Source organism: Homo sapiens, chromosome 4, assembly GCF_000001405.40.
Source record: "Homo sapiens chromosome 4, GRCh38.p14 Primary Assembly".
NCBI lineage: Eukaryota > Metazoa > Chordata > Mammalia > Primates > Hominidae > Homo > Homo sapiens.
In genome coordinates, this window is record NC_000004.12 from 76,449,411 (window position 1) to 76,475,594 (window position 26,184).

The 26,184-nt window shown below is 39.3% G+C and overlaps 1 protein-coding gene across 1 annotated transcript in view, besides 2 other annotated features; it reads left to right on the forward strand.

The window, feature by feature from the left end:
• SHROOM3 (shroom family member 3) overlaps positions 1–26,184 on the forward strand; it is a 348,025-nt gene that overhangs the window by 14,182 nt on the left and 307,659 nt on the right. The window lies entirely within an intron of this gene.
• Positions 9,434–10,633: an enhancer, noted in NCBI's record as "MED14-independent group 3 enhancer chr4:77379997-77381196 (GRCh37/hg19 assembly coordinates)". NCBI's record gives its function as "activates an origin of replication core promoter dependent on BRD2, BRD4, P300/CBP and CDK7 cofactors, and independent of MED14, by STARR-seq in HCT116 cells {active_cell/tissue: HCT116}" and the evidence as "EXISTENCE:reporter gene assay evidence [ECO:0000049][PMID:35650434]".
• Positions 9,626–10,321: an enhancer, noted in NCBI's record as "OCT4-NANOG-H3K27ac hESC enhancer chr4:77380189-77380884 (GRCh37/hg19 assembly coordinates)". NCBI's record gives its function as "activates a minimal SCP1, AML or CMV promoter by ChIP-STARR-seq in naive H9 embryonic stem cells {active_cell/tissue: H9 hESC(naive)}" and the evidence as "EXISTENCE:reporter gene assay evidence [ECO:0000049][PMID:30033119]".

Sequence of the window (26,184 nt, forward strand, 5' to 3'; positions counted from 1 at the left end):
AGCAGGCAATAGAATATGACACAGTTTCCGACCTACCCTGCCCTTGAAATAACAGAATAACTTTTTAACACTAACATGCGTTTCCTTGAATAACTTGTACCTCTGCCAAATTCCACACAAGAAGCTTCTTTTCTTCAGGGGCTGCTTCCCCACAATGTGAATATTCTTTGACTCACTATGTTGTCCATTTCCAATTTCCTTGTTTTTTGCTTGAGTTCACTGAAGACTGACAAACAGTAGCTTCACGTGACAGCCATTAGTCTGCTTTAAACCTCAGCTTGATCTTGAATGGATAGAATAATGAATAGATTTTGTGTCATATAATTCATGTTGTCAGTTATATGAAATTGGCAGTTAAAGAGAAACTAAATATGCTTCCAGTCCTCTCTTTTCTAAATTCATATTTGAATATAATAATGTGAAAGGCATTGTTCCTTCTTTTAGTTAAAGCATTTTTGTAGCAGTCTGAACTGTGAATAATAGAGAAACATATGCTCTATTAAAAAATAGAAGGTGAGGAAGATAAGTGTTTTACTCTTTGTATTAAGAATTAACAAGTGGTTTTAAAAATTGAGCTTGTATGTGTGTGTGAGCACAGGGAGGGGTATTTCATCATAATGAGGGAGGCCTTGGCAACTTAGTGTTCGTTTTAACTCCATTGATTGCCGAACACATTCATGCCTGCTCTAGCTCCAGGGAGGCTGTGGAACAGGAAATAAGAGATTCAAAAAGCAGCACAGAAGAAAATCATCTCCTCTCCTTCCATCTCCCAAGCAGAGAAAAATATGCTTTCTTTTTTGTCAAAATTGCTTGGTTTGTCCTATTATGCTGTCATTTCAGAGAGATTAAAAGTATACTTTTTCATACATTGCAAGTGGGAATGTAAAATGGTGCAGCCACTTTGGAGAAACAGATGGCCATTTCTTAAAATATTAAACATAGAGTTACCATATCACCCAACAGTTCTACTCTGAAGTATATACCCAGCAGAAATAAAAACATATATCTGTACAGAGACTCATACTCAAATGTTCATAGCCTCATTGTTCACAATTTTTCATAAATAGAAAAAATCCAAATGCCCATCAACTGAATAAACAAAATGTGGTATAGCCATATAATGGAATACTATTTGGCAATAAGAAGGAACTGAGTTACAACATGTATGAACTTTGAAAATATTATGCTCAGTGAAAGACACCAGACACAAAGGAACATATTTAACTCCACATATATGAGATACCCAGAAAAGGCAATTCTAAAGGGACAGAAAGTAGATGAAAGATTGCCTAAGGCTATGGATAGGAATAGAGAGTGACTATAAATGGGTACAAGGTTTCTTTTTGAAATAATGGAAATGTTCTGAAACTAGGTGTTCTGAAAGTAGATAGTTGCCAACTCTGTAAATATAGTAAAAATCAATGAATCATAAAGAAAAACACTACTTCTATTCTGGTAACAAAAATTAGAAGAACAAAAAAAGACAGAAATTATAGTAAACCACAAAGTAAATTATTACCCACCATGTTAACCATTTAGTATTGATTTTTTTTTTTTTGAGATGGAGTTTAGATCTTTTGCACAGGCTGGAGTGAAGTGGCACAATCTTGGCTCACAGCAACCTCTGCCCCTGGGTTCACGCCATTCTCCTGCCTCAGCCTCCTGAGTAGCTGGGATTACAGGCACCTGCCACCATGCCTGGCTAATTTTTGTATTTTTAGTAAAGATGGGGCTTCGCCATGTTGGCCAGACTGGTCTTGAACTCCTGACCTCAGATGATCCACCTGCCTCAGCCTCCCAAAGTGCTGGGATTACAGATGTGAGCCACTGCACTCAGCCAGTATTGATTTAATTAACTGAAATTTAATATAGTAGAGGAAAATAACCAAAATGAAGCTCTAAAGCATGTCACAGAGTCCTAATTATTCAAAGAATCATAAAGATGTGATTTACACCATTCAATAAACTGCAAAAAATTTGTGCAGAATCAAAGAAAGCAGGCACAACAACGTATATTCTTAATTATTTCATTTATATAAATTTTTAAAACCAGTCATTGGTGAAAGAAATCAGACCAATCATTGCCTCTGTGGTTGGAGACTGACTAGGGCACAAGGGATGATGTGCGCTAGTGCCCTTTTGATGCATGAAAGTTGTAAATTTCTGGGATGATGGAAATGTTCTATATCTTAATAGTGATATGTGCTATGTGGATATATGCATTTGTCAAAAACTCATTGAACTGTTTCCTTAAGATCTGCACATTTTACTGCACGTAAGTCATGCCTTAAATAAAATCTGATACCTTAAATAAAGTGAGAGACAGGAAGAAATTGGCTATTGGAAGCACAAAACAAAATTGAAAGTTTAGAAATGGACCCATTAGATATATAATAATTTAGTATAGGATGAAAGAAGAATTTTTAAAGGTTTTTTTAGAAACAGAGTCTCACTATGTTGCCCAGGCTAGAGTACAGAGGTTATTCCCAGGCACAATAATGGTACACTGCAGCCTCGAACTCTTGGGCTCAAGCCATCCTCCTGCCTCAGCCTCCGAGTAGCTGGGACTATAGGCGTGCGCCACCATGTCTAGCAGAAATTTTAAATCAGTGAGGGCAAAAAGGGATTTTTAAATAACAATACTGGGATCAGGAAAGATAAAAGCTGGAGTCATTTCATTCCTAACACCAAAATTAGGTCAGATGAATAAAAGATTCAGATAGAAAAAGTGAAATAAGTTTACTTCAGATATTTATGTATTGTTTGGAGACTTTTATAGCAAATACATTTTAAACTTTTTGTGGTAAAATATACATAACATAAAATTAACCATTTTAGCCATTTTTAAGTATACAGTTCAGTGGCATCAAGTACATTCACATTGTGTGCACTTACTTATCACCACCATCCACCTCCAGAACATTTTCATCTTCCCAAACTGAAACTCTGTATCCATTAAAAACCAATTCTCCATTCCTTCCAGTCCCTAGCCCTTAGCCCCTGGCAACCGCCATTCTACTTTCTGTCTTCATAAACTTGATTAGTCTAGGTGCTTCATATAAGTGGAATCATACAATATTTGTTCTTTTGAGACTGGCCTATTTTACTTAGCACAGTGTTTTCAAGATTCATTCACATTGTAGCGTGTGTCAGAACTTCATTTATTTTAAGGGTGAATAATATTCCATTGTATCTGTATACCATATGTTGTTTATTCATTTATCCATTGATGGATATGTAGGTTGTTTCTGCCTTTTAGCTATTGTGAATAGTGAGCTATGTACATTTGAGTTTAAGTCTTTGTATAGATATGTTTTTGTTTTTGAGACAGAGTTTCACTCTTGTCATCCAGGCTGGAGTGCAATGGCACGATCTCAGCTCACTGCAACCTCCGCCTCCCAGGTTCAAGCAATTCTCCTGCCTCAGCCTCCCAAGTAACTGGGATTACAGGTGCCTGCCACCATGCCGAGCTAATTTTTGTATTTTTAGTAGAGACAAGTTTTCACCATGTTGGCCAGGCTGGTCTCAAACTCTTGACCTCAGGTGACCCACCTGCCTCGGCCTCCCAGAGTGCTAGGATTACAGGCGTGAGCCACCGTGCCCAGCCTAGATATATGTTTTTAATAAGAACTTGTGTGTACAGATATTTTGGTGAGTTCCTTCTTTCAATTCCATGGGGTCTATACCTAGAAGTGGCATTGAAGAATCATATGGTAATTCTAAGTTTAATTTTATAAAGACCTACCTTACTGTTTTCCACAGTAGCTGCACCATTTTACTTTCCCACCAGCAATGTGCAAGGGTTCTAATTTATACACATCCTTGCAAACGCTTGATATTTTCTATCTTAATTTTTCTCTAATTAATTTTCTTCTTTTTTTTTTAAGAGACAGGGTCTTGCTCCATTGTCCAGGCTAGAGTGGTGTCACATGACCATGGTTCATTGTAGTCTTGACCTCCTGGGCTCAAGTGATCCTCCTGCCTCAGCCTCCAGAGTATCTGGGACTACAGATGCATGCCACAACACCTGGCTATTTTTTTTCATTTTTTGTAGTGATGGGGTCTCACTATGTTGCCCAGGCTGGTCTCGAACTCCTGGCTTTAAGTAATCCTCCCAAAGTGCTGGGATGAGCCACTGTGCCCAATAAATAATAGCATTCTTAATAGGTATGATGTGGTATCTCATTTTGTGATTTTGACTTGCATTTCCCTAATATTTAGTGTTGCTGAGTATCTTTTCTTGTGCTTATTGGCCATCAATACATCTTCTTTGGTGAAATGTCTGTTCCAGCCCTTTGTTCATTTTTTAAATTGGAATATTTGCTTTTGGTTGTTGTATTGTAGTTTTTTATGTATCCTTGATATTAACCCCCTATCAGATGTGTGATTTGCAAATATTCTCTCCCATTCTGTGGACTGCCTTTTTACTCTGCGGATAGTGTCTTTTGATGCATGAAAGTTTTAAATTTGGATAAAGCACACTACTTTTTCTTTTGTTGTCTGTGCTTTTGATGTTAGATTCGAGAAATCATTGCCAAGTCCAATGTCATGAAACTTTCCTCTATTTTTTTCTAAGAGTTTTCTAGTTTTAGCTTTGACATTTAGGACTTTGATCTAGTTTTAATTTTTGTGTTCATGTGTTTTCTTTATGAGATGGAGTTTTGCTCTTGTTGCTCAGGCTGGAGTGCAGTGGCACCGTCTCAGCTCACTGCAACCTCCGCCTCCTGGGTTCAAGCAATTCTCCTGCCTCAGCCTCCTGAGTGGCTGGGATTATAGGCGTCAACCACCACACCTGACTAATTTTTGTATTTTTAGTAGAGACAGGGTTTCACCATATTGGCCACGCTGGTCTCGGACTTCTGACCTCAGATGATCCACCCGCCTTGGCCTCACAAAGTGCTGGGATTACAGGTGTGAGCCACTGCACCCAGCCTAATTTTCTTATATGGTATAAGGTAAGGGTCCAACTTTATTATTTGGTATGTGGATATCCAGTTTTTTCAACACATATTTCCTACTGAATGATCTTGGCACTCTTGTAGAAAATTATTTAGCCATTTATAGCCAGAGTTGATTTCTGGACTCTCTCTATTCTATTGTATTGGTCTAAATGTCTGTCTGTATGCCGTTATAACACTGTTTTGATTACTGTAGCTTTGTACTAAGTAAATTTTGAAACAAGGAAGTGTGAAACCTACACATTTGTCTTCTTAAAGTGTTTTTTTCTTAGTACTTGGGGTCCTTTAAGATTCCACATGAATTTTAAGATAGGTTTTTTTATTTCTGCAGTAAATGTCATTGGGATTTTGATGGAGATTACATTGAATCTGTAGATTGTTTTGGTTACTATTGATATCTTAACAATATTTTCTTCTAATCCATAAATGCAGAGTGCCTTTCAGTTTGTGTCTGCTTTCTTTCAGCAATGATTTACAGTTTTCATGCATGCTTTTTGCCTCCTTGGTTAAGTTTATTACTAAGCATTTTATTCTTTTTGATGCTATTGTATATGGAATTTTTTTTATTTCTTTTTTGAATTGTTCATTGTTAGTGTATAGAAATGCTAATTTTTGTGTGTTGATTTCGCATCTTGCAACATCACTGAATTTGTTTATTAATTCTAACAGCTTTTTTTGGTGGAATCTTTGGAGGTTTCTACATATAAAATAATGTCAATGGAGATAATTTTACTTCTTCCTTTCCAGTTTGGATGACTTTTATTTCTTTTTGTTGCCAATTGCTCTGACTAGAACTTTCAGTTCTATGTTGAATACAAGTGGTAAAAGTGGATATCCTTGTCTTATTCCTGATTTCAGAGGAAAAGCTTTTAGTTTTTAGCCATTGAGTCTGATAATAGGTGTGGAATTTTTTATATATGATCTCTATTATGTCACACTTTAAAAAAATCTATGAAAGTATCAAAAGATGGATAAATATTTACGTATTTATACATAAATATAAATAAACATTTATATCATTTGGGGGAAAAGAATCTTAATAACCAAAGCCAAAAATTATAAGGGAAAGAAAAAGATGATAGATTTAATTCTGTACAAAATTGAAAATATTTACCTAGCAAAAACTTCATTAATTAAAATGATATAATAAATAGGGATAAGATCCTTAATACTGTATAAAAAGAACTCTTATATATACATAAGGAAAAATCCACACACAAAAGCTACATTGGCAAAGGACATGAGCATGAAATTCACAAAAAAGAATAACCAAGGGTCAAAGAATATATAGAAAAAGAGTTTATCTTCTCTAGTGATTACAAAGAAAAATGAAATTAGATTTTTTTTAACCTGTAAGACTGAAAAAGATGAGGAAGAGTGATAATATTCACTCAATGTAGTAATTTCATATCCTTTCAGTAGGAATAAAAATTGGTTGAGTCTTTTTTGGAAGGCACCAAGTATTAACTCTTGAAAACGTGCATCCCCAGCAACTGTAGTTGTCCCTCAGTATCAGTGAGGAATTGGTTCCATTTGGTACCCTACAGGTACCAAAACCCATGGATGCTTAAGTCTCTTATATAAAATGGTATAGTATTTGCATATAATCTACACATATCCTTTTGTACACTTTACTTTTTATTTTTTAATTTTTTTTGAGACAGAGTCTCACTCTGTCAGCAGGCTGGAGTACAGTGGTGCAATCTCGGCTCACTGCAACCTCTGACTCCCTGGTTCAAGCGATTCTCCTGCCTCAGCCTCCTGAGTAGATGGAATTACAGGCATGTGTCACCACTCCTGGCTAATTTTTGTATTTTTAGTAGAGAACAGGTTTCACCATGTTGGCCAGGATGGTCTTGATCTCCTGACCTCATGATCCACCTGCCTCGGCCTCCCAAAGTGTTAGGATTACAGGCATAAGCCACTGTGCCCAGCCCTTTTGTATACTTTACATCATCTCTAGATTACTCATGATACTAATACAATGCACGCACATCACTTCATTTGCATGGATTCAACATAGTACTTGTACACATAGTACACACAGCAAATTCAAGTTTTGCTTTTCAGAGATTTGTGGAATTTTTTTCTGAATATTTTTGATTTGAGGTTGGTTGAATCCATGGATGCAGGACTGATGCACATGACGAACATACTGTGTATACCTCTGGGTTTATGCTAAGGAAATAATTGCTCAATAGATATGTACAAGTATGTTTAGCTATATATCTAAAAGAGCAAAAACTTCGAAAAATCTATCAACTATGTCTATCAACTATGGGGCCACTGAAAATAATGATGCAGATTATCGATTTATAGATATACATGTCATATGGTTTGTTTCATGCGCGTCCGTGTAAAGAGACCACCAAATAGGCTTTGGGTGAGCAATAAAGCTTTTAATCACCTGGGTGCAGGCGGGCTGAGTCCGAAAAGAGAGTCAGCAAAGGGTGGTGGATTATCATTAGTTCTTATAGGTTTTGGGATAGGCGGTGAAGTTAAGAGCAGTGTTTTGCAGGCAGGGGTGGATCTCACAAAGTACATTCTCAAGGGTGGGGAGAATTACAAAGAACCTTCTTAAGGGTGGCGGAGATTACAAAGTACATTGATCAGTTAGGGTGGGGCAGAAACAAATCACAATGGTGGAATGTCATCAGTTAAGGCTATTTTTACTTCTTTTGTGGATCTTCAGGTACTTCAGGCCATCTGGGTGTATACGTGCAAATCACAGGGGATGCGATGGCTTGGCTTGGGCTCAGAGGCCTGACAGTTTGGATCTGTGTCCCCACCAAGTTTCATGTCAAATTGTATTCTCCACTGTTGGAAGTGGAGGGAGGTGGTTAGATCACAGGAATGGATTTCTCATGAATGGTTTAGCACCATTACCTTGGTGCTGTTCTCATGATAGCGAGTGAGTGAGCTCTCGTGAGATCTGGTTGTTTAAAAGTGTGCAGCACCTCCTCCCTCACTCTCTCCTTCTCCTGCTCCTTCCATGTAAGATGCCTCATTCCCCCTTTGCTTTCCACCATGATTAGAAGCTTCCTGAGGCCTCTGCAGAAGTAAAAGCTGCTATGCTTCCTGTACAGCCTGCAGAACCGTGAGTCAACTAAACCTCTTTTCTTTATAATTTTTTTTTTTTTTTGAGATGGAGTCTCGCTCTGTCTCCAGGCTGGAGAGCAGTGGCACTATCTCGACTCACTGAAACCTCTGCCTCCTGGGTTCAAGCGATTCTCCTGCCTCAGCCTCCCGAGTAGCTGGGATTACAGGCACGCACCACCACGCCCAGCTAATTTTTGTAGTTTTAGTAGAGACGGGGTTTCACCATGTTGGCCAGGATGGCCTCGATCTCCTGACCTCAGGATCTGCCCGCCTTGGCCTCCCAAAGTGCTAGGATAACAGGCGTGAGCCACCGAGCCTGGCTTTTCTTTTCTTTTTTTTTTTTTTTGAGAGGGAGTCTCACTCTGTCGCCCATGCTGGAGTGCAGTGGCCTGATCTCGGCTCACTGCAAGCTCCGCCTCCCAGGTTCACGCCATTCTCCTGCCTCGGCCTCCCAAAGTGCTGGGATTACAGGTGCCCACCACCGTGTCTGGCCATTTTTTGAATTTTTAGTAGAGACAGGGTTTCATGTGTTAGCCAGGATGGTCTCAATCTCCTGACCTCATGATCCGCCTGCCTGGGCCTCCCCAGGTGCTGGGATTACAGGCATGAGTCACCACGCCTGGCTGCACCCGGCTTTTCTTTATAAGTTACTCAGTCTCTGACATTTCTTCATAGCAGTGCAAGAACGGACTAATACAACATGGAAAGATATTATATATTCATATTCATATATTTTTGAGTAAGAGAAGTAGGTTGCCAAGTAACATGCCTAGTACAATCCCAGTTTTATTTACTTACATGTTTAAATATTTATTTTTGACAAAATTTGGGAGAATATGTATATAAAAGTATTAAAACTGATTGTGTCTTTGTAGTGGGATTTTAAGTGATTCATATTTTCCTCTTTTGTATCTTTTTCTGAAGTCTCTACAATGAACATGTAATCTTGTTAGAGTAATGGTTTTGTTAAATGATAATATTACTTTTTCAGTAGCGTTGAGTACATTGTTGTGCAACCATCACCACTATCTGGTTCCGGAACTTTTTCATCTTCCCATACTGAAACTCTGCACTCATTAAACAGTAATTCCCCTTTGCCCCTCCTCTAGTGATAATAGCTTTAAATCAAGAAAATTCTACATTTAATAATTTTATTTTTTCCCCCTTCCCAACTACACATATACTTTTAAGAAAAGAACAGTTTTATTGAGATATAAATCAAATGCCATACAATTATCCTGTCACACACATACTTTGGAAGTTCTGTGACCCTCTTTGTAGTTTGTTTGTTTGTTTGATGGAAGCATTTTTACCAGGCAGAAAGTACAACGTTGGAAGTGAATGTTCTTGAATTTATTGGAGACAAATTATAGAGGAATAATGATATGTGAATTTTACCTACCATAAACCTGCATCCTGTATTTGGACAGGAGCTCTGTGTACCTTCAAAAACTGTTCAAAACTGGTTTTAGGTCCAGCTCCCTGTGAAAGTTGAGTTAAGCTAAAGAGCAGGAATCTATTAACAGGTCAACAGCAGCAGGGGGGCGGGGATTGGAAAGGGCCTGGAGCAGCTGCGGTTCATTTGGGAGTTTAAAATTGGCTTTTCTTTTATTCTCTTATTCCTGCTACCTCCATAGAATCCAGGAAGAATAGGGATGTTTTTTCCTACATTTGATTATAACAGGCCCAAATCTCTTTGAACATAACCAGTAAAGGAAAGAAGCATCCGTGGCCATCAAACTGGGTAAAATGGTAACATAATCTCTGATGTGTAGTTTGAATCCTATTAATTATAATTGTGTAGAATTGTACAGTGAGAATGCTTTGGGAGTTTTTAACGCTAGGTTTTTCAAAGACTACATTCCTCATTAGACCTTCCCCATTAAGGCATGCTTGAGTGATGCTACACAGCCGAATAGTTGGGATTTTTTCCCCCTCTTGTCATAGTCTGAAGACAAAGGATTCTTCCGCTTGCCAAAGTTCCAGGGAGCCTAGGTTGAGCCGCTGTGACAGCACTTCGGCAGGGAGCTTTTTATTCAGTCTTCGATTTGCCGTCAGGCCTCATTCACGAAACAGGATCAAGTTGGAGCAGTACACGGAGAAAAAAAAATCAACAGAGGAAAATCTCGCACAGCCAGATATGGCGCCATGGGTCACTTTTTCCTTTCACTAATGCTGAGTCATGATGCAGTCTAGGCTAAGGCACAGAAAACTGTACATTTCTGGTCCTAACTGCATTGTTGTCCCTCAGGATTCTCGGTGCCTTTGCTAAAGTAATGTTACAACAGTCCAGAAAATGCTAGCATTAGTATTGCAGCTTACTTGACTTCTCTGAGAAGCAGCGAGAGTGGCACAAAAGAGCTGGGAGCCCTGCAGTTGATACCAAAATAACCTGCCAATGGCCTTACAACCTTGCTACTTCTCAGTTTTTCCTAGCCTCAGTTTCCTCGTCTACAAAGTATGGATAATGTGCTGCTGCTTCTTATTTACAAGGTTCTTGTGAGGATCAAACAGAGGTAATGCATATGAAAATGTTTGTTACATTACCCAGGAATGATTCTTATTATCATCAGAATTTTTATATTTGAATTTAGAAGTTGTATGTATGTGATCGCTTCTGGATTATGTGTGTGTGAACTTCACACATTATCAAAAGAGATTACTTTTTTAATATTGTTTGCCCAAGGGAAAGTGTTGAGGGCTACATAAGTTTAAAAATGACTTTAACTTAGGCATTAGATATAAAATGGTCTCCCCATTTGCCTTCAATTCAGTAAAAACAGCATATTTGTGATTGGCTACATCAACAGGCATCCTTCCCTCTTATGTATAATCTGGTATAGCATAGTGATTAAAAGCACAAGCTGTAGAGCCAGATGCACAAACACAACATTTTTGTGTTGACAAAAGACAAAGACACTACCACCGTTGCGACCTTTATGTATCTTACTATCTAAGGTTTTTAAATCCATATTACATCTTTACACCATCGGTTGTTTATTAGTTTATTAGAGCTGGCAAAACAAAATGCCGCAGACTGGGTAGCTTAAACAACAGAATATTTTTTTCACAGTTCTGGAGGCTAGAAGTCCAGGATCAAGGTGTGAGCAGGTTTGGTTTCTCCTGAGGACTTTGTCCTAAGTTTGCAGAGGCTGCCTTCTTACTGTATCCTAGCAGGTCTTTCCTCTGTGCCCCCACATCTCTGGTGTCTCTCTGTATATCCAAATTTCCTCTTAGAAGAGGCCACTAGTGGTAGCTCACACCTGTAATCCCAGCACCTTGGGAGGCTGAGGCTGGTGGATAGTTTTAAGTCCAGGAGTCAAGACCAGCCTGGGTAACACAGTGAAAGCCCGTATCTACAAAAAAAAAAAAAAAAATTAGCCAGGCATGGTAGTATGCCCCTGTAGTCCCAGTTACTTGAGAGCTGAGGTAGGAGAATCACCTGATTCTGGGAAGTCAAGGCAGTAGTGAGCCATAATCACACCACCACTGCACTCCAGCCTGGGTGTTGGAGTGAGACCCTGTTTCGAAAAAATACAAATAAAAAAAATTTAAAAAAAAAAAGAAGAAAAAGCAATTAGATTGTATTAGGGCACATCATAATGGCTTTATTTTAACTTAATCACCTCTTTAAAAGCCCTATCTCTAAAAAGTCACATCTGAGACACTGGGATTTAGGGCTTCAACATAGGAATTTTGGGAGAACATAGTTCAACCCCTAACATAATGCTCTCTACTCCACAGATAATGCAAAATTAGCCAAGGGACCAGGATTGACTCTAGTATCATACAAAAGAGTCAAAGGCAATTGTGAGTCTAGTAGTAAAATTTATTTGAATATCTCATGTGGTACTCACATCAATCATATAAAAGACATCTGACTTTTATGGAGAAACTCAGACTTTCATGGAAAATCATAGATATTTGGCAATAATTTTTGGCTTAGTCCATAAAGAGTTTGGAAATTAGAATTTGGGGTTGTGTCAGAATACGGAAACAGAATTCACACTAGTTGTTTCAGCAGAGGAAATTTAATACAGAGAATAAGTATAAAGATATTTACTACTACCTGCTTACCAGATGCAATTTTGCATGATATTCTAAATGAAGCAGACACATGATAGTTTGTGGCATGTCAAGATGATCAAGAATATGACAGTGCAGGAGTTGACATAGTTCTGAGACAGCAGTGTGAAGGTATGCTGTTGTCCTCATTAGGTGAAAGCAAAAGGCTTATGGTAATTCTTGAGAATTTTTTGAAGGGGAAAAAAATGTTAAGATCAATAGCTAAGTACTACATGCGAGATACTTGTATTGCTTTGCTCAAGTTATCACATCTGGAACAGCAGTTGCAATTGGCATTACTTGATTAAGTTTACAAAAATCCATATTCACTGTCCAAGATGAATAAATCTGCACAGGCCAAATTAAATGGGAATGTTAGGAATCACACCTGTATCTTTTAAGTCTTTGGTGGTGGCATTAATCTTGACAGTTCTTCCAAGGGTGTGATAATTGCTTTTAGTTTACCATTAGGATAGGACAAAAGGAGTTCCAAGGGCTTCCACTTGGCCCTCCTACAGTATTAGCTCTTTCTCTACATCCCAGTGTGGAAATTAGATCATTTTTAAAGCATGTTGGCTGGGCACAGTGGCTCACACCTGTAATCTCAGCACCTTGGGAGGCGAAGATGGGCAGATCACTTGAGGTCAGAAGTTCAAGACCAGCCTGGCCAACATGGTGAAACCCTGTCTCTACTAAACATACAAAAATGCACACCTGTAGTCCCAGCTACTTGGGAGGCTGAGGTAGGAGAATCGCTTGAACCCAGGAGGCAGAGGTTGGAGTGAGCTGAGATCATGCTGCTGCACTCTAGCCTGGGTGACAGAGTGAGACTCAGTCTCAAAAAAAAAAGCATGTCTACATATAGTCTACATATATGATACATTAAAACTATAGAAATAACTATAGGGTAGATCCTATAAGATAGACGAGCCCAAACTTCATTTACCACTTGATATGGTTTGGATTTGTGTCCCCACCCAAATCTCATGTTGAAGTGTAATCCCCAATATTGGGGGAGGGACTGGTTATGGGTGACTGGATTATGGGGGTGGATTTTCCCCTTGCTGTTCTCATGATAGTGAGTGAGTGCTCATGAGATCTGGTTGTTTGAAAGTGTAGCACTTCCTTCTTTGTTCTCTCTCTCCCTCTCCCTCTCCCTCTCTCTCTCCCTCTCCCTCTCCCTCTCCCTCTCCCTTTCCCTCTCCATCTCCATCTCCCTCTCCCTCTCCCTCTCTCCCTCTCCTGCTCTGCCATGGTAAGACATGCTTGCTTCCCTTTTGCCTTCCACCATGATTTTAAATTTCCTGAGGCCGCCCAGCCATGCTTCCCATGTAGCCTGTGGAACTGTGGATCAATTTAACCTCTTCTTTTCATAAACTACCCAGACTCAGGTAGTTCTTTATAGCAGTGCGAGAATGGACTAATATGGAAAATTGGTAGAGAAGGGGGGCATTGCTATAAAGATGCCTGAAAGTGTGGCATCGTCTTTGGAACTTGGTAATGGGCATAGGATGGAACAGTTTTTAGGGCTCAAAAGATAGTAAGATGAGAGAAAGTTTGGAACTTCCTAGAGACTTAGTGAATGGTTTTGACCAAAATGCTGATAGTGATATGTGATATGGACAATGAAGTCCAGGCTGAGGAGGTCTCAGATGGAAATGAGCAACTTATTGGGAACTGAAGTAAAGGTCACTCTTGTGATGCTTTAGCAAAGAGGCTGGTGGCATTGTGCCCCTGCTCTAGAGATCTGTGGAACTCTTAACTTGAGAGAAATGATTTAGGGTATCTGGTGAAGAAATTTCTAAGCAGCAAAGCATTCAGGAAGTGGCCTGGCTGCTTCTAACAGCTTAGGCTCATATGTGTTCACAGAGATGGTCTGAAATTAGAACTTATATTTAAAATGGAAACAGAGCATAAAAGATTGGAAAATTTGCAACCTGATCATGTGGTAGAAAAGAAAAACCCATTTTCTGGGAAGGAATTCAAGCCAGCTATGGAAATTTGCATAAGTAAGGAGGAGCCCAATGTTAATAGCCAAGACAATGGGGAAAATGTCTCCAAGACATTTGAGAGACCTTTGTATCAGCCCTTCTTATCACAGGCCTAGAGTCCTAGAAGGAGAAAATGGTTTCATGGGCCAGGTCCAAAGCCCCACTGCTCTTTGAAGCCTTGGGACCTGGCACCTTGCACTGTGGCTGCTCCAGCTCCAGCCAAGGCTAAATGGGGTCAGGGTACAGCTCAGGCCATTATTTCAGAGACTGCAAGTCCCAAACCTTGGCAGTTTCTACATGGTGTTTGGCCTGTGGGTGCACAGAGGGCAAGTGTTAATGCTTGAAAGCTTCTACCTAGAGTTCAGAGTGTGTATGGAAATTCCTGGATGTCCAGGTAGACGTCTGCTGCAGGGGCGGAGCCCTTATGGAGAATCTCTACTAGGGCAGTGCAGAAGGGAAATGCGGCATCAGAGTCCCCACACAGAGTCCTCACTTGTGCACTGCCCAGCAGAGCTGTGAGAAGAAAGTCACTGTCCTCCATACCTCAGAATGGTAGATCCACTAACAGCCTGCACTGTGCACCCGGAAATGCCACAGTCACTCAACACCAGCCTGTGAAAGCAGCTGTGGGGGCCATAACCTGCAGAGCCACAGGGGTGGAGCCACCTAAGGCCTTGAGAGTTCACCTCTTGCATCAGCATGACTTGGATGTGATACATGGAGTCAAAGGAGATTATTTTGGGGCTTTAAGATTTAATGACTGCCCTGCTGGGTTTCGCACTTGCATGGGACCTGTAGCTTCTTTGTTTTGGCCAATTTCTCCAATTTGGAAAGGGAGCATTTACCCAATGCCTGTACCCCATTGTATCTTGGAAGTAACTAATTTTTTTTTTTTAATTTTATAGGCTCATAGGCAGAAGGGACTTCCTAGTCTCAGATGAGACTTTGGACTTGGACTTTTGAGTTAATGCTGGAATGAGTTAAAACTCGGGGGGACTGTTGGGAAGGCATAATTATGTTTTAGTGTGAGAAGGACATGAGATTTTGGAGGGGGCAGGGTGGAATGATATTGTTTGGATTTGTGTCCCCACCCAAATCTCATGTCCTATTGTAATCCCCAATGTTGGGGGATGAACCTGATGGGAGGTGATTGGATCATGGGGGTGGATTTCTCCCTTGCTATTCTCATGATAGTGAGTGAATTCTCATGAGATCTGGTTGTTTGAAAGTGTGTAGCACTTCCCTCTTTACCTTCTCTCTCTCTCCTGCACCACCATGGTAAGATGTGCTTGCTTCCCCTTCACCTTTTGCCATGATTGTAAGTTTCCTAAGGCCTTCCAGCTGTGCTTCCTGTAGAGCCTGCAGGACTGTAAGTCAATTAAACCTCTTCATAAATTACCCAATCTCAGGTAGTTCTTTATAGCAGTGTGAAAATGGACTAATACATCACCTGAACACCATAAATGTTCTCTTTGGCTACTGATCCCCAGTGGTGTTTTGAGTGCCTGAACTAGCATTCATTCACAACCATTATATAGAATTCTTCAAGGATATATAGAATCTTTAATTTCTCTCAATAAAAAGGTCAAACTTCACTTGAATCATATTAGCAAGTTTAATCCACATTATTTGTTTATCTGGAGAGCTAGCATATGTCTACATATGTATGTATGCATACCTATTTATTCCAAAACTGATTTAAAGTGTGCACTTATCTAAGAAGTTGTAGTAGCCAAGGTGGTACACTGCTCAGATGTTACTTCAGGAGAAACTGCTTCAAGGAACATAATTGTCAGACAGTTTCCAGCTGTTACACCTTTGGATCTGCTGCAGTGTTTATGCCAAGGCCATGCTCACCCCAGGCTGCTACTAGCCAATAGCTGAACATATTGGGGTATGAAAGCCATGCCATTCTGCCTGATGCCTCTTACAGTAGGCAATCTTTGCTCCAGGACTTCCCATCAGCCTGGCCAAGACTTTCTCAGAATCACACTGCAGGCCGAAGCTCCTTTTCCTCAGTCCTCCTGCCTTCCCTCCTGGCTTTCTCTCTCCCCTTTCACAGGTGTCAGATCCACATTGTGTTCAAAGAGCTCTCTTCTCCTATTTCTGATACCTCACTTGTTTATCCTCTGTAGGTGTTTCTCCTAATACATCTCTTGCACATCTGGTTCCACCTTGGCATCTGTATCTTTGAGGACCTAAACAGACACAGAAATCAAGTAACAATGCAAAAAGCCTGACGCTCACTGACTATTAGATTGTTGACAAATATAAGATTGCTGGGCCTTGGGAAAGCATAATTTCACTTGTTCCTAATAACTGAAAATGCTTTTTGAAAAACTAAATATGCCATGCATAAAGGGCCTAAGATTTAGGTTTTCCTGTAGAAAAACATCTGTGCCCTAGTGGGAAAGTATCACTTTTAAATATAAAATTTTAAAATGAATCCAGGGAAGACATTAAATTCCCAGGATTGAGGACAATAACCAAGAACCTGAACAGCATTTACGTGTTTGTTGGTCTCTGCTTTCTTTATCTTGCCCTCTTTGCTTCCTGCTTTATGTTATAAAGTGTTAATGTGTCAAAAATGAAAAATGTAGGGTTGGTGTGATGTTCTCAACAGGCTTCTTGAAAAATATTTTTTTCATCTTTCAAGAATCAGCTAAAATTGAATTTGGCATTGTTTGCCCTTTGTTGCCTAGGCATTGGGGTCAGACTCTTGTCTGACCTAAGTGAAGCCATGATGGACAGTTCTGTAGAGGGCATTATCACAGCCTAATCAGATAAACTGAAAGCAAAATTGTTTTTCTCTCTCCCACAGAATCTGCTCCTCCATTTTCTTCCTCTTTTATATTCTTTTCTAACTTGCCCTGTGAATTTTCAAGACATAGTAAGATTTTATTGTTATTACTGAGATAGATTGGTTGCAGAAACTGTTGTATGAACCAAATGTCTTCTGCCTTGTAGATAGACTTCCTCAGGAACTAAGAGCAGTGTCTGTACGCCTCAGGTAACAAGTCACTGCCAACTCTGTAATACGTTTTAACCTGATGCAGAAGTAGGGGCCCTGCTGTTTTCTGGATTCTTTAGCCTTTTGTTCAATGTAATAATGCATTTAATCATGGGAGAATTTAAAACATTTACCTTGTAATAGTAGCAATAAGTCTAAGTCCCAAATCAATAGAAACCTGGCAAAAAATACTCAGACTAAACAAAATTACCAAGAACAACGACAAAAACCAAATCCTAAGAGCCATAAAGGAATCCCTTTTTTGTACATGTTTAATTTTACATTTTAGCAAAAATAAAAAATAAGGAAGCAATAAGTTTAGGTTTGGGCTGAAGATGCAATGAAAATATAGGCTTATGAGAAAGTAAAATACTAATAAAATAGTATTTTGCTTCTCTGCTGGGGGAGTAAGTGAAGGAAACTAATATTTCTTGCATTTATGCTATGTGCCAACCCTTGTGCTGGATGCTTTTTATATATATTATCTTGGCCCTCCCCAGAACCCAGAAAAGTTTTTTTTTTTTTTCTAGACAGGGTCTCACTCTGTCACCCAGGCCGGAGTGTGGTGACTCAATCACGACTCACTGCAGCCTCAACCCTCTGGGCTCAAGTGATCCTCCCACCTCAGCCTCCCGAGTAGCTGGGATTTCAGGTACATGTTATCAGACCCAGCTAATTTTTTTAAAAATTTTTGGTAGAGATGGGGTTTCACCATGTTGCCCAGGCTGCTCTTGAACTCCTGGGCTCAAGCCATCTGCCTGCCTCTGCTTCCTAAAGTGCTGAGATTACAGGCACGAGCCACCATAGCCAGCTCCCATGTCATCATTTTGTCAGTGAGTAAACTGAGGCTTAGATAAGTGAAATAAGCTGCCTGAAATCGCATGCGTTTGTGGTCCCTCTGGGATTCAAACCCAGTCCTGTCTGACTTTAAGTTGTGGATAAAGAATGATTTTGGAACTGTGAAGGCTAAGCAAATACTGGTGAGAGGGACTAACTCACACATGAGACAGCTAAATAATGAAGTACATACAGTCTAGAGCAAGCAAAGACCCAGGCTAGTGGTAATCACTCCCTATGTATTTTGCCAGTCCTAACCAGAGTCTGAGAGCCCCTTACAAGTGAAGTCACTGCAACTGCAATTGGTGATCTTTCAGGAACTAAGTGAGGAAAAGGAGGAAGCATGGAAAGACTTGAGATGAAGATAAGTAGTCCCAACTTTCACAAACCCGGGTATAACTTCAATAATTTCTGTTGCCTTTGAGACATGTTGAGCCCTCAGTTGCCTGGGCTTGAGGGAAGTTAGTACCAGAACTCAGAGAAAGGACTTGGTTATAAGGCTGATTCCAAGGAGTGCATAAAACTTTCTAATATCTGATACTGGAAATGGGAATGAAGAGTTCAGTCTTGATTTAAACTAGCTCCATTATTCTAGGAGGTGGGACATAAGGAAATATAGACAGCAGATGACATTTGAATTAACATAAGGGGCATAGAATGGCAAGCAGCCTGTTGGGAGCCAGACCAGTTAAGAGTTAAAAGACAAGATTCAGCCCACTGGGAAAGTGTGCTGTTAACTACAAGTCAGAGTAATAGGACTTCATCAGAAGGGCTGGAACTAATTTTTGCCTATCCTCTTGACCAAGATTTGACAAGAGTGACGGAAGAGGAAACATTCTACATATAGGGGACATTCCTACATATTGCTAGTAGAAATGTAAATTAATACAGTACCTACAGAGAGAGTATCTTGGCAGTATCTGTTGGAATTACAAATTCACATTTTCTTTAACCCAACAAGACCACTTTTAGGTTTTGAACTTGTAGAAATACTCAATGTACACAGTCATGTATATACAAAGACATTTCTGCAGGATTCTTGAAAAGGGCAAACAAATTATAGAATTCCTTGTCTCTTGACTAGGATTTTTGTATAGGTTTTATAATTCCCTCTTAGGGCTTTCAGTAGTTACCACTTAGCTATTATTTTTATAATAAATGAGTTTATTTTTAAATTATTATGTTAATTCATAATTATTATGATAATTAAAGCCAAAATTGTATTATATATAAATATATATACATATATCTAAATATTTACACATTAGTTTAAGCAAGATTATGTTGTTAAAGCTATTTTCAGTTTAATGTGATACAGTGTTTTGTTTGTTAATAGTGATTCAGTTAAGGCAGATAGCCATATCAAAAGCATTTGATGGCCTGGCGCGGTAGCTCACACCTGTAATTCCAGCACTTTGGGAGGCCAAGGCAGGTGGATCACCAGAGGTCAGGAGTTTGATACCAGCCTGGCCAACACGGTGAAACCCCATCTCTACTAAAAATACAAAAAAAAATTAGCCAGGCGTGGTGGCAGGCGACTGTAGTCCCAGCTACTCGGGAGGCTGAAACAGGAGAATGGCATGAACCTGGGAGGTGCAGCTTGCAGTGAGCTGAGATGGTGCCACTGCACTCCAGCCTGGGTGACAGAGCGAGATTCCATCTCCAAAAAAAAAAAAAAAAAATTAGCCGGACATGGTGGTGTACACTTGTAATTCCAGCTACTCGGGAGGCCGAGGCAGGAGAATTACTTGAACCTGGGAGGCGGAATTGCAGTGAACCAAGATCACACCACTGCACTCCAGCCTAGGCCACAGAGTGAGACTCCATCTCAAAAAAAAAAGAGCATTTAATAAGCATTTCAATTTTTAAAATTAAGGAAATTTTGGTTTTGACTATAGGTCCTAGTCAAGTCTTTCCAGAACTGATATGGCCAACCTCTGTTGAGCAATGTGGATGTTAGAAGATGGGGAGCCAGTGAGGGACTGCAGGTTAAGGGATGTGTAGTAAGCTGTTAGGAGCAAGGCCACCTAAGTCCCCCCACTTAAATTCCCAGTCGTTTCATTTCCTGTTTTTTCTTTTTGTCCCCAATTGTCTTTTTTTTTTTGAGACAGAGTCTCACTGTGTTGTGCAGGCTGGAGTACAGTGGCGCAATCTCAGCTCACTGCAACCTCTGCCTCCCAGGTTCAAGCAATTCTCCTGCCTCAGCCTCCTGAGTAGCTGGGACGTCAGGTGCATGCTGCCACACCCAGCTAATTTTTTGTATTTTAGTAGAGACCGGGTTTCACCGGGTTGCCCAGGCTGGTCACAAACTCCTGAGCTCAGGCAGTCGACCTGCCTTGGCCTCCCAAAGTGCTGGGATTACAGGCGTGAGCCACCAGGCCCAGCTCCCAGTGTCTTAATGTAGTACTCTAGGTGGATGAGAGGATTGGGGTCAGGAAAAAAGTCTGGTAAGTCAAAGAATAGAGCTGGGTTTGATTTGAAAAGACAAGATAATGGACAGTTTTTAAGAGATAGAGCTTTATAGGAAGGAAGATTGAGATTTAAGACGAAATATGTCAAGAATGGGTCAGTTAAGTTCTACCTGGTATATCAGATCTCCTTCTTTAAAGCTTCACTCTTCATTGACATACACAGACAGATTTAAACAATTTAAACAAAAATTATAGCTAACTCTTAAGTACTTAATATATGCCCAAGCTTAATGCTTTATATGCATTAACTCACTGATTTCTTACACCTCTATGAAGTAGGTCCTATTATAATCCCCATTTAACATAAAGTTGAGGAAAGAGGCCTATACACTAAGTGATTTGACCCCAGACCCATAGCTATTCACTATACTGTGTCTCTCTGTCTACCTCATAGGGTTTCTGTGAGAATCAAGTGAGTTTTGTGTGTGAAAGTACTTTGAAAACCACAAAGCATTTGATACTTGAAAACCAGTTCTCAAGAGATAGAAAATGTTATTCACTCTACTCTGTGGAACAATTCTTTAAAAACAGGACTTGGAAAGCAAGCTACTGTCAAAACTAAAATAAAATTAACCTCAAATTAGAGGAGCACTTTTAGATGACAAAATAAGTACTAAGAAAATACAACAATAAAAAGAAAAAATGACATACAATCAAGATACAAGACTAATTGTAATTTTTAAAATGGCCTTTTTTGATGGGGTGAGAGTTTTTCACAGAGCTGAAAGCTGTGATTGCATTGCCACATTTTACAAAACAGTCTCTGGAACAGGATTGACCTGGCTATCAAAGGATAATTACATGGCCTAATAGATTGTCCCTACCTTCAACTGCTAATGAAGCCCTTGGAAAATGTATCCCCCACTTAACGAATGAGGCTGAAAATGCCAAGAAGCCTTTTGCCAAGGATGTGTTCTCTAGGCTCAGGCTGAATTCATTATTTTGTTAGAGTATTACCACCAAGCCAACCATGGGCAATTTAGCATGCCACATTTCAAGCAGAATTTAATTCATCTCTGTGTGCCATAAATGAGACAAATACCCTGTGATCAGGTGACAGCTGTCAGTAATGCCATAAACAGAAAGTATTAATGTAAGTGGTGAATTCCTCTTAATCATACCCCCATTAAAAGCTGGTACAAAAATTAGGGGGTGTGTGTGTGTGAGAGAGAGAGATTGTGAGGAAAGGCATGCATAAAATAGTCTGATTACTTTACGATACTCAACTCCACTTTTGTTATAAAACCTCACTTATTTTCATACCAAAAAACAACAGGTAAATTTCTTGATGAAAGAAAGTACCTCTGAGTTACCCTTTGTCTGAAAATGTATGTCTTTTTATGGAATTGCCTAGCTCTGAAGATAGCTATTGCTTATAAAGACTAGTTTGTTCTTCCTTTCTTTCTTTTTTTTTTTTTTTGAGATGGAGTCTCACTCTGTCGCCCAGGCTGGAGTGCAGTGGCGTGATCTTGGCTCACTACAACCTTTGCCTCCCGACTTCAAGTGATTCTCCTGCCTCAGCCTCCTGAGTAGCTGGGACTACAGGTGCACACCACCACGCCTGGCTAATTTTTTGATTTTTAGTAGAGATGGGTTTTCACCATGTTAGCCAGGATGGTCTCGATCTCCTGACCTTGTGATCCACCCACCTTGGCCTCCCAAAGTGCTGGGATTACAGGCATGAGCCACCGCGCCCAGCCAGTTTGTTCTTTCTTTAAGACCACATGCTTTCCTTAATGTAGCAAATCTAAAAGCAGGGACATTTGGAATGTTACTCAAAGTGGGAGGGAGTCCTACCACCCAGGGAGCCTGACATCCCAGTCAGAAAGTGACATATGAATGTATTAAGAATGGGCCCAACATCTAACAATAAAAAAAATGGGTTACCTTAAACACCATTTTTTGAACACTTACTGCTCCCAGGCTCTGAACATCTGAAGAAACATCTGAGAGACACCAAGGATGCAGTGAGAATCTTTTTTCTCATTAGATGTAAGAGCAGCTCTCAGTTCTTTTGGGCATCAGAGTTACCTAGGAAGAGTTGGGGGTTGTATTTTGCAGTCTCTGGAGTCAGACTACCTGGTTTTACATCCTGTCTCTGCTGTTTGTTAGTTGTATGATCAAGGGTGTTACTTACCCTCAGTAAGTCTAGTGCTTCTGTTTGTAAAAATGAAAGGGGGAATAGATAAAAATAGATCTATCTTATTAAGTAAAGATGGACTGATATAATGCCTGGTGCAGTTTCAGGCATATGGTGAGCATGCAATAAATAAATACTAGCTCATTTATTATTAGTAGTAGAATTATGTTTCTTCTCCTACCCAGAGTGAGACATTAATTGATCAAAATGTGTCATACACCTCATGTGGATTGGGGCAAAACAAAAACCAAAAGAGAAACACAGTTTTGTGCAATAATTTAAATCTCTTAAATAAAAAATGTAGAGAAGTTGCTGTTAGTAAAATGTACTGACTTTTCATTCTTTATTAATTCAATGATATTTGTTATCAAATATTATAATAAATGCTGTTTGAGCCCAAGTATAAATCTGATTTGTGACTTGCCTTCAAGAACCACAGTCTTGTCATGGAGAGGAGAGGATGTTATGATTGGGAAGCAGTGGTGGGGCACTAGAAGGGGTGGGTCTTCTGGAGATCTGACAAAATTCCATTTCTTGACCTGGGTGGCAGTTCTATAATAATAAAGTTATGCATCTATATTATATGTACTTTTTGGTGTATATGTTATAGTCACAGTAAAAATGTCTTTAATTGTGGTATGTGAGTGATTTGTATCTCAGTTTAAAAAAATTATATGGGATATTCCTGAATAAACCTTGGGGAATGTTTCTTTCTTTCTTTTTTTTTTTTGTGATAAGAGTCTCCCTCTGTCGCCCACGCTGGAGTGCAGTGGCGTGATCTCAGCTCACTGCAACCTCCGTGTCCTGGGTTCAAGCGATTATTCTGCCTCAGCCTCCCAAGTAGCTGGGACTACAGACATGTGCCGCCATGTCCAGCTAATTTTTGTATTTTTAGTAGAGACGGAGTTTCACCATATTGGCCAGACTGGTCTCAAACTCCTGACCTTGTGATCCGCCCACCGCGGCTTCCCAAAGTGTTGGGATTACAGGTGTGAGCCACCACGGCCGGCCAGGAATGTTTCTTAGACAAAGCATCAAAAGCACAAGCAACCAGCATATGTTAATTAGCTTGATTTAGCCATTCTGCAATGTATACATATTGAAAGCAACAAGTTGTACAATATATACGATTTTTATTTATCAGTAAGAAAAAAAGCACAAGCAATCAAAGTTAAAATAGACAAATTGGACTTTATTAAAATTAAAGACTTGTGCTTCAAAGGATACTATTGAGAAAGTAAAAATATAACCTATAGAATGCAAGAAAATATTTGTAAATTTTCTATCTGATAAGAGTCTGGTATCTAGACTATATGAAGAATTATTATGACTCAACAATGACAAGGCTGGGTGTGGTGGCTCATGCCTTTAATCCCAGTGCTTTGGGAGACTGAGATGGAAAGATTGCTTGAGGCCAGGAGTTTGAGACCAGCCTGGGCAACATAGTGAGACCCCATCTCTATGAAAAATTTTAAAAATTAGCTGGACATGGTGGCATGTACCTGTAGTCCTAACTACTCTGGAAGCTGAGGTGAGAGGATTGCTTAAGCCCAGCAGTTTAAAGTTGCAGTGAGCTATGATTATGCCACTGCACTCCAGCCTGGGCAACAGAGCAAGACTCTGTCTCAAAAAAAGAAAAAAAAGAAGACAACCCCATTTTAAAATGGGCAAGAGGTTTGAACAGATATTTTTCCAAAAAAGATATATAAATGGTCAATAAGCACATGAAAAGATGCTCAATATCATTAATCACCAGGGAAATGCAAATCAAAAATACAATGAAGTATCACTTTATACCCTCTAGGATGGCTGTACTCAAAAGGACAGACAATAAAAAGTGTTGGCCAGGATGTGAAGAAATTAAAACTCTCACACATTGCTGGTGTGAATGTAAAATGGTATAGTTGCTTTGGAAAACGACTGGCTATTTCCTCAAAAAGTTAAACATAGAATTACCATGTGTCCTAGCAATTCCATTTCTATCCAGGAAAAATTAAAACATAAGTCCACACAAAAAACTTGTACATGAATGTTTATAGCAATAACAAAAAAGTAGAAAAAAAATTTTCATCAACTGATGGAAAAATAAAATATGGTGTACTCATTGATGAAATATTATTCAGTCATATAAAAGAATGAAGTACTGATTCATGCTACAGCACAGAGGAACATTAAAACGTTATGCTATGTGAAAGAAGCCATAAAGGCCACACATTGTATAATTCCATTTATAAGAAATGTTCAGAATAAGCAAATCCATAAACACAGAGAGAGTATTAGTGGTTGTCAGGGACTATGGGGGAGGATGGATGGGAGAGTGACTACTAGAGGGTACAGGACTTAATTTTAGTGTAATAAAAAATGTTATGAAATTAGATAGTGGTAAGATTGTAAGACTGAATATGTTAAAAACCACTGACTTGTGTACTCTAAAAAGCTGAATATTCTGGTAAGTGAATTATTATCTCAATAAAATAAATAAAATACAAAGTATGGGATAGTTCCATGCTTTGTAATGGTTATATTTGACTAAATTATAGATTGTACAAAGAGAGTAATGGGAAATAAATTTTAAAATATAAATTGAAATCAAATTATAAAAGGCTTTATTAGTGAGAAGCTGTCAGTAGAGAACCATTAAAGATTTCTGAGGCCAGGCATGGTGGCTCACACCTGTAATCCCAGCACTTTGGGAGGCTGAGGCAGGTGGATCAACTGAGGTTGGGAGTTTAAGACCAGTCTGGTCAACATGGTAAAACCCATCTCTACTAAAAATACAAAAAACAACAACAACAAAAAGCCAGACGTGGTGATACATGCCTGTAATCCCAGCTACTTGAGAGGCTGAGGCAGGAGAATTGCTTGAACCTGGGAGGTGGAGGTTGCAGTGAGCTGAGATCGCGCCACTGCACTCCTGCCTGGGTGACAGAGTGAGACTCTGGCTCAAAAAAAAAAAAATTTTTTTTTTGAGAAAGTGAGGAATGTGATTAGAGCGTGGTTCAAGAAATTTAGTCTAGCATCATTTTGATTCATCTCTGCGTCTTTCCTAGCCTTTGTACTAGAGAGGACAGTGATTATGTACTTTGTAGCTTAGTTTTGTCTTAGGGAATACATATGATTTTAGAAATTTTTCAAAGGACTGGATCATATTAGCCTGGTAAATTGAATTATATGTCGTTTTGTAATAATACAATGTATATGAATATATACAAGCATTACCTCATTTCATAGGAAAGAGGTGATAGATAAAATGAGAAAAAGCGAGATTTTGGTTGTGTTTACTAATACATATTTCTGATTTGGAGAACTGGGAAGGGAAAACATAACTGTATTAGTCTAAGTCTCAATGGGTTGCTATATTAGAATAATTCACTAAGGGTTGTCAAGGACTGTGAAGGATCTGAGAATTGACCTTACCAGCAAGCTAACAAATTAACCTGCCATAGTTTCATGAATGCTGGCAGAAGACACAAGACTTTTGGGTCAGAGATAAAGGACTTTTGCATTTTATCATAGTTGATTTCAACTTTAGTTAGTGGAAGAGTTAACTAGTTACACAATTTTTAGAAATGTAATCAAATTAGTACTTGAAAGCTCCAATATATTTATTGTA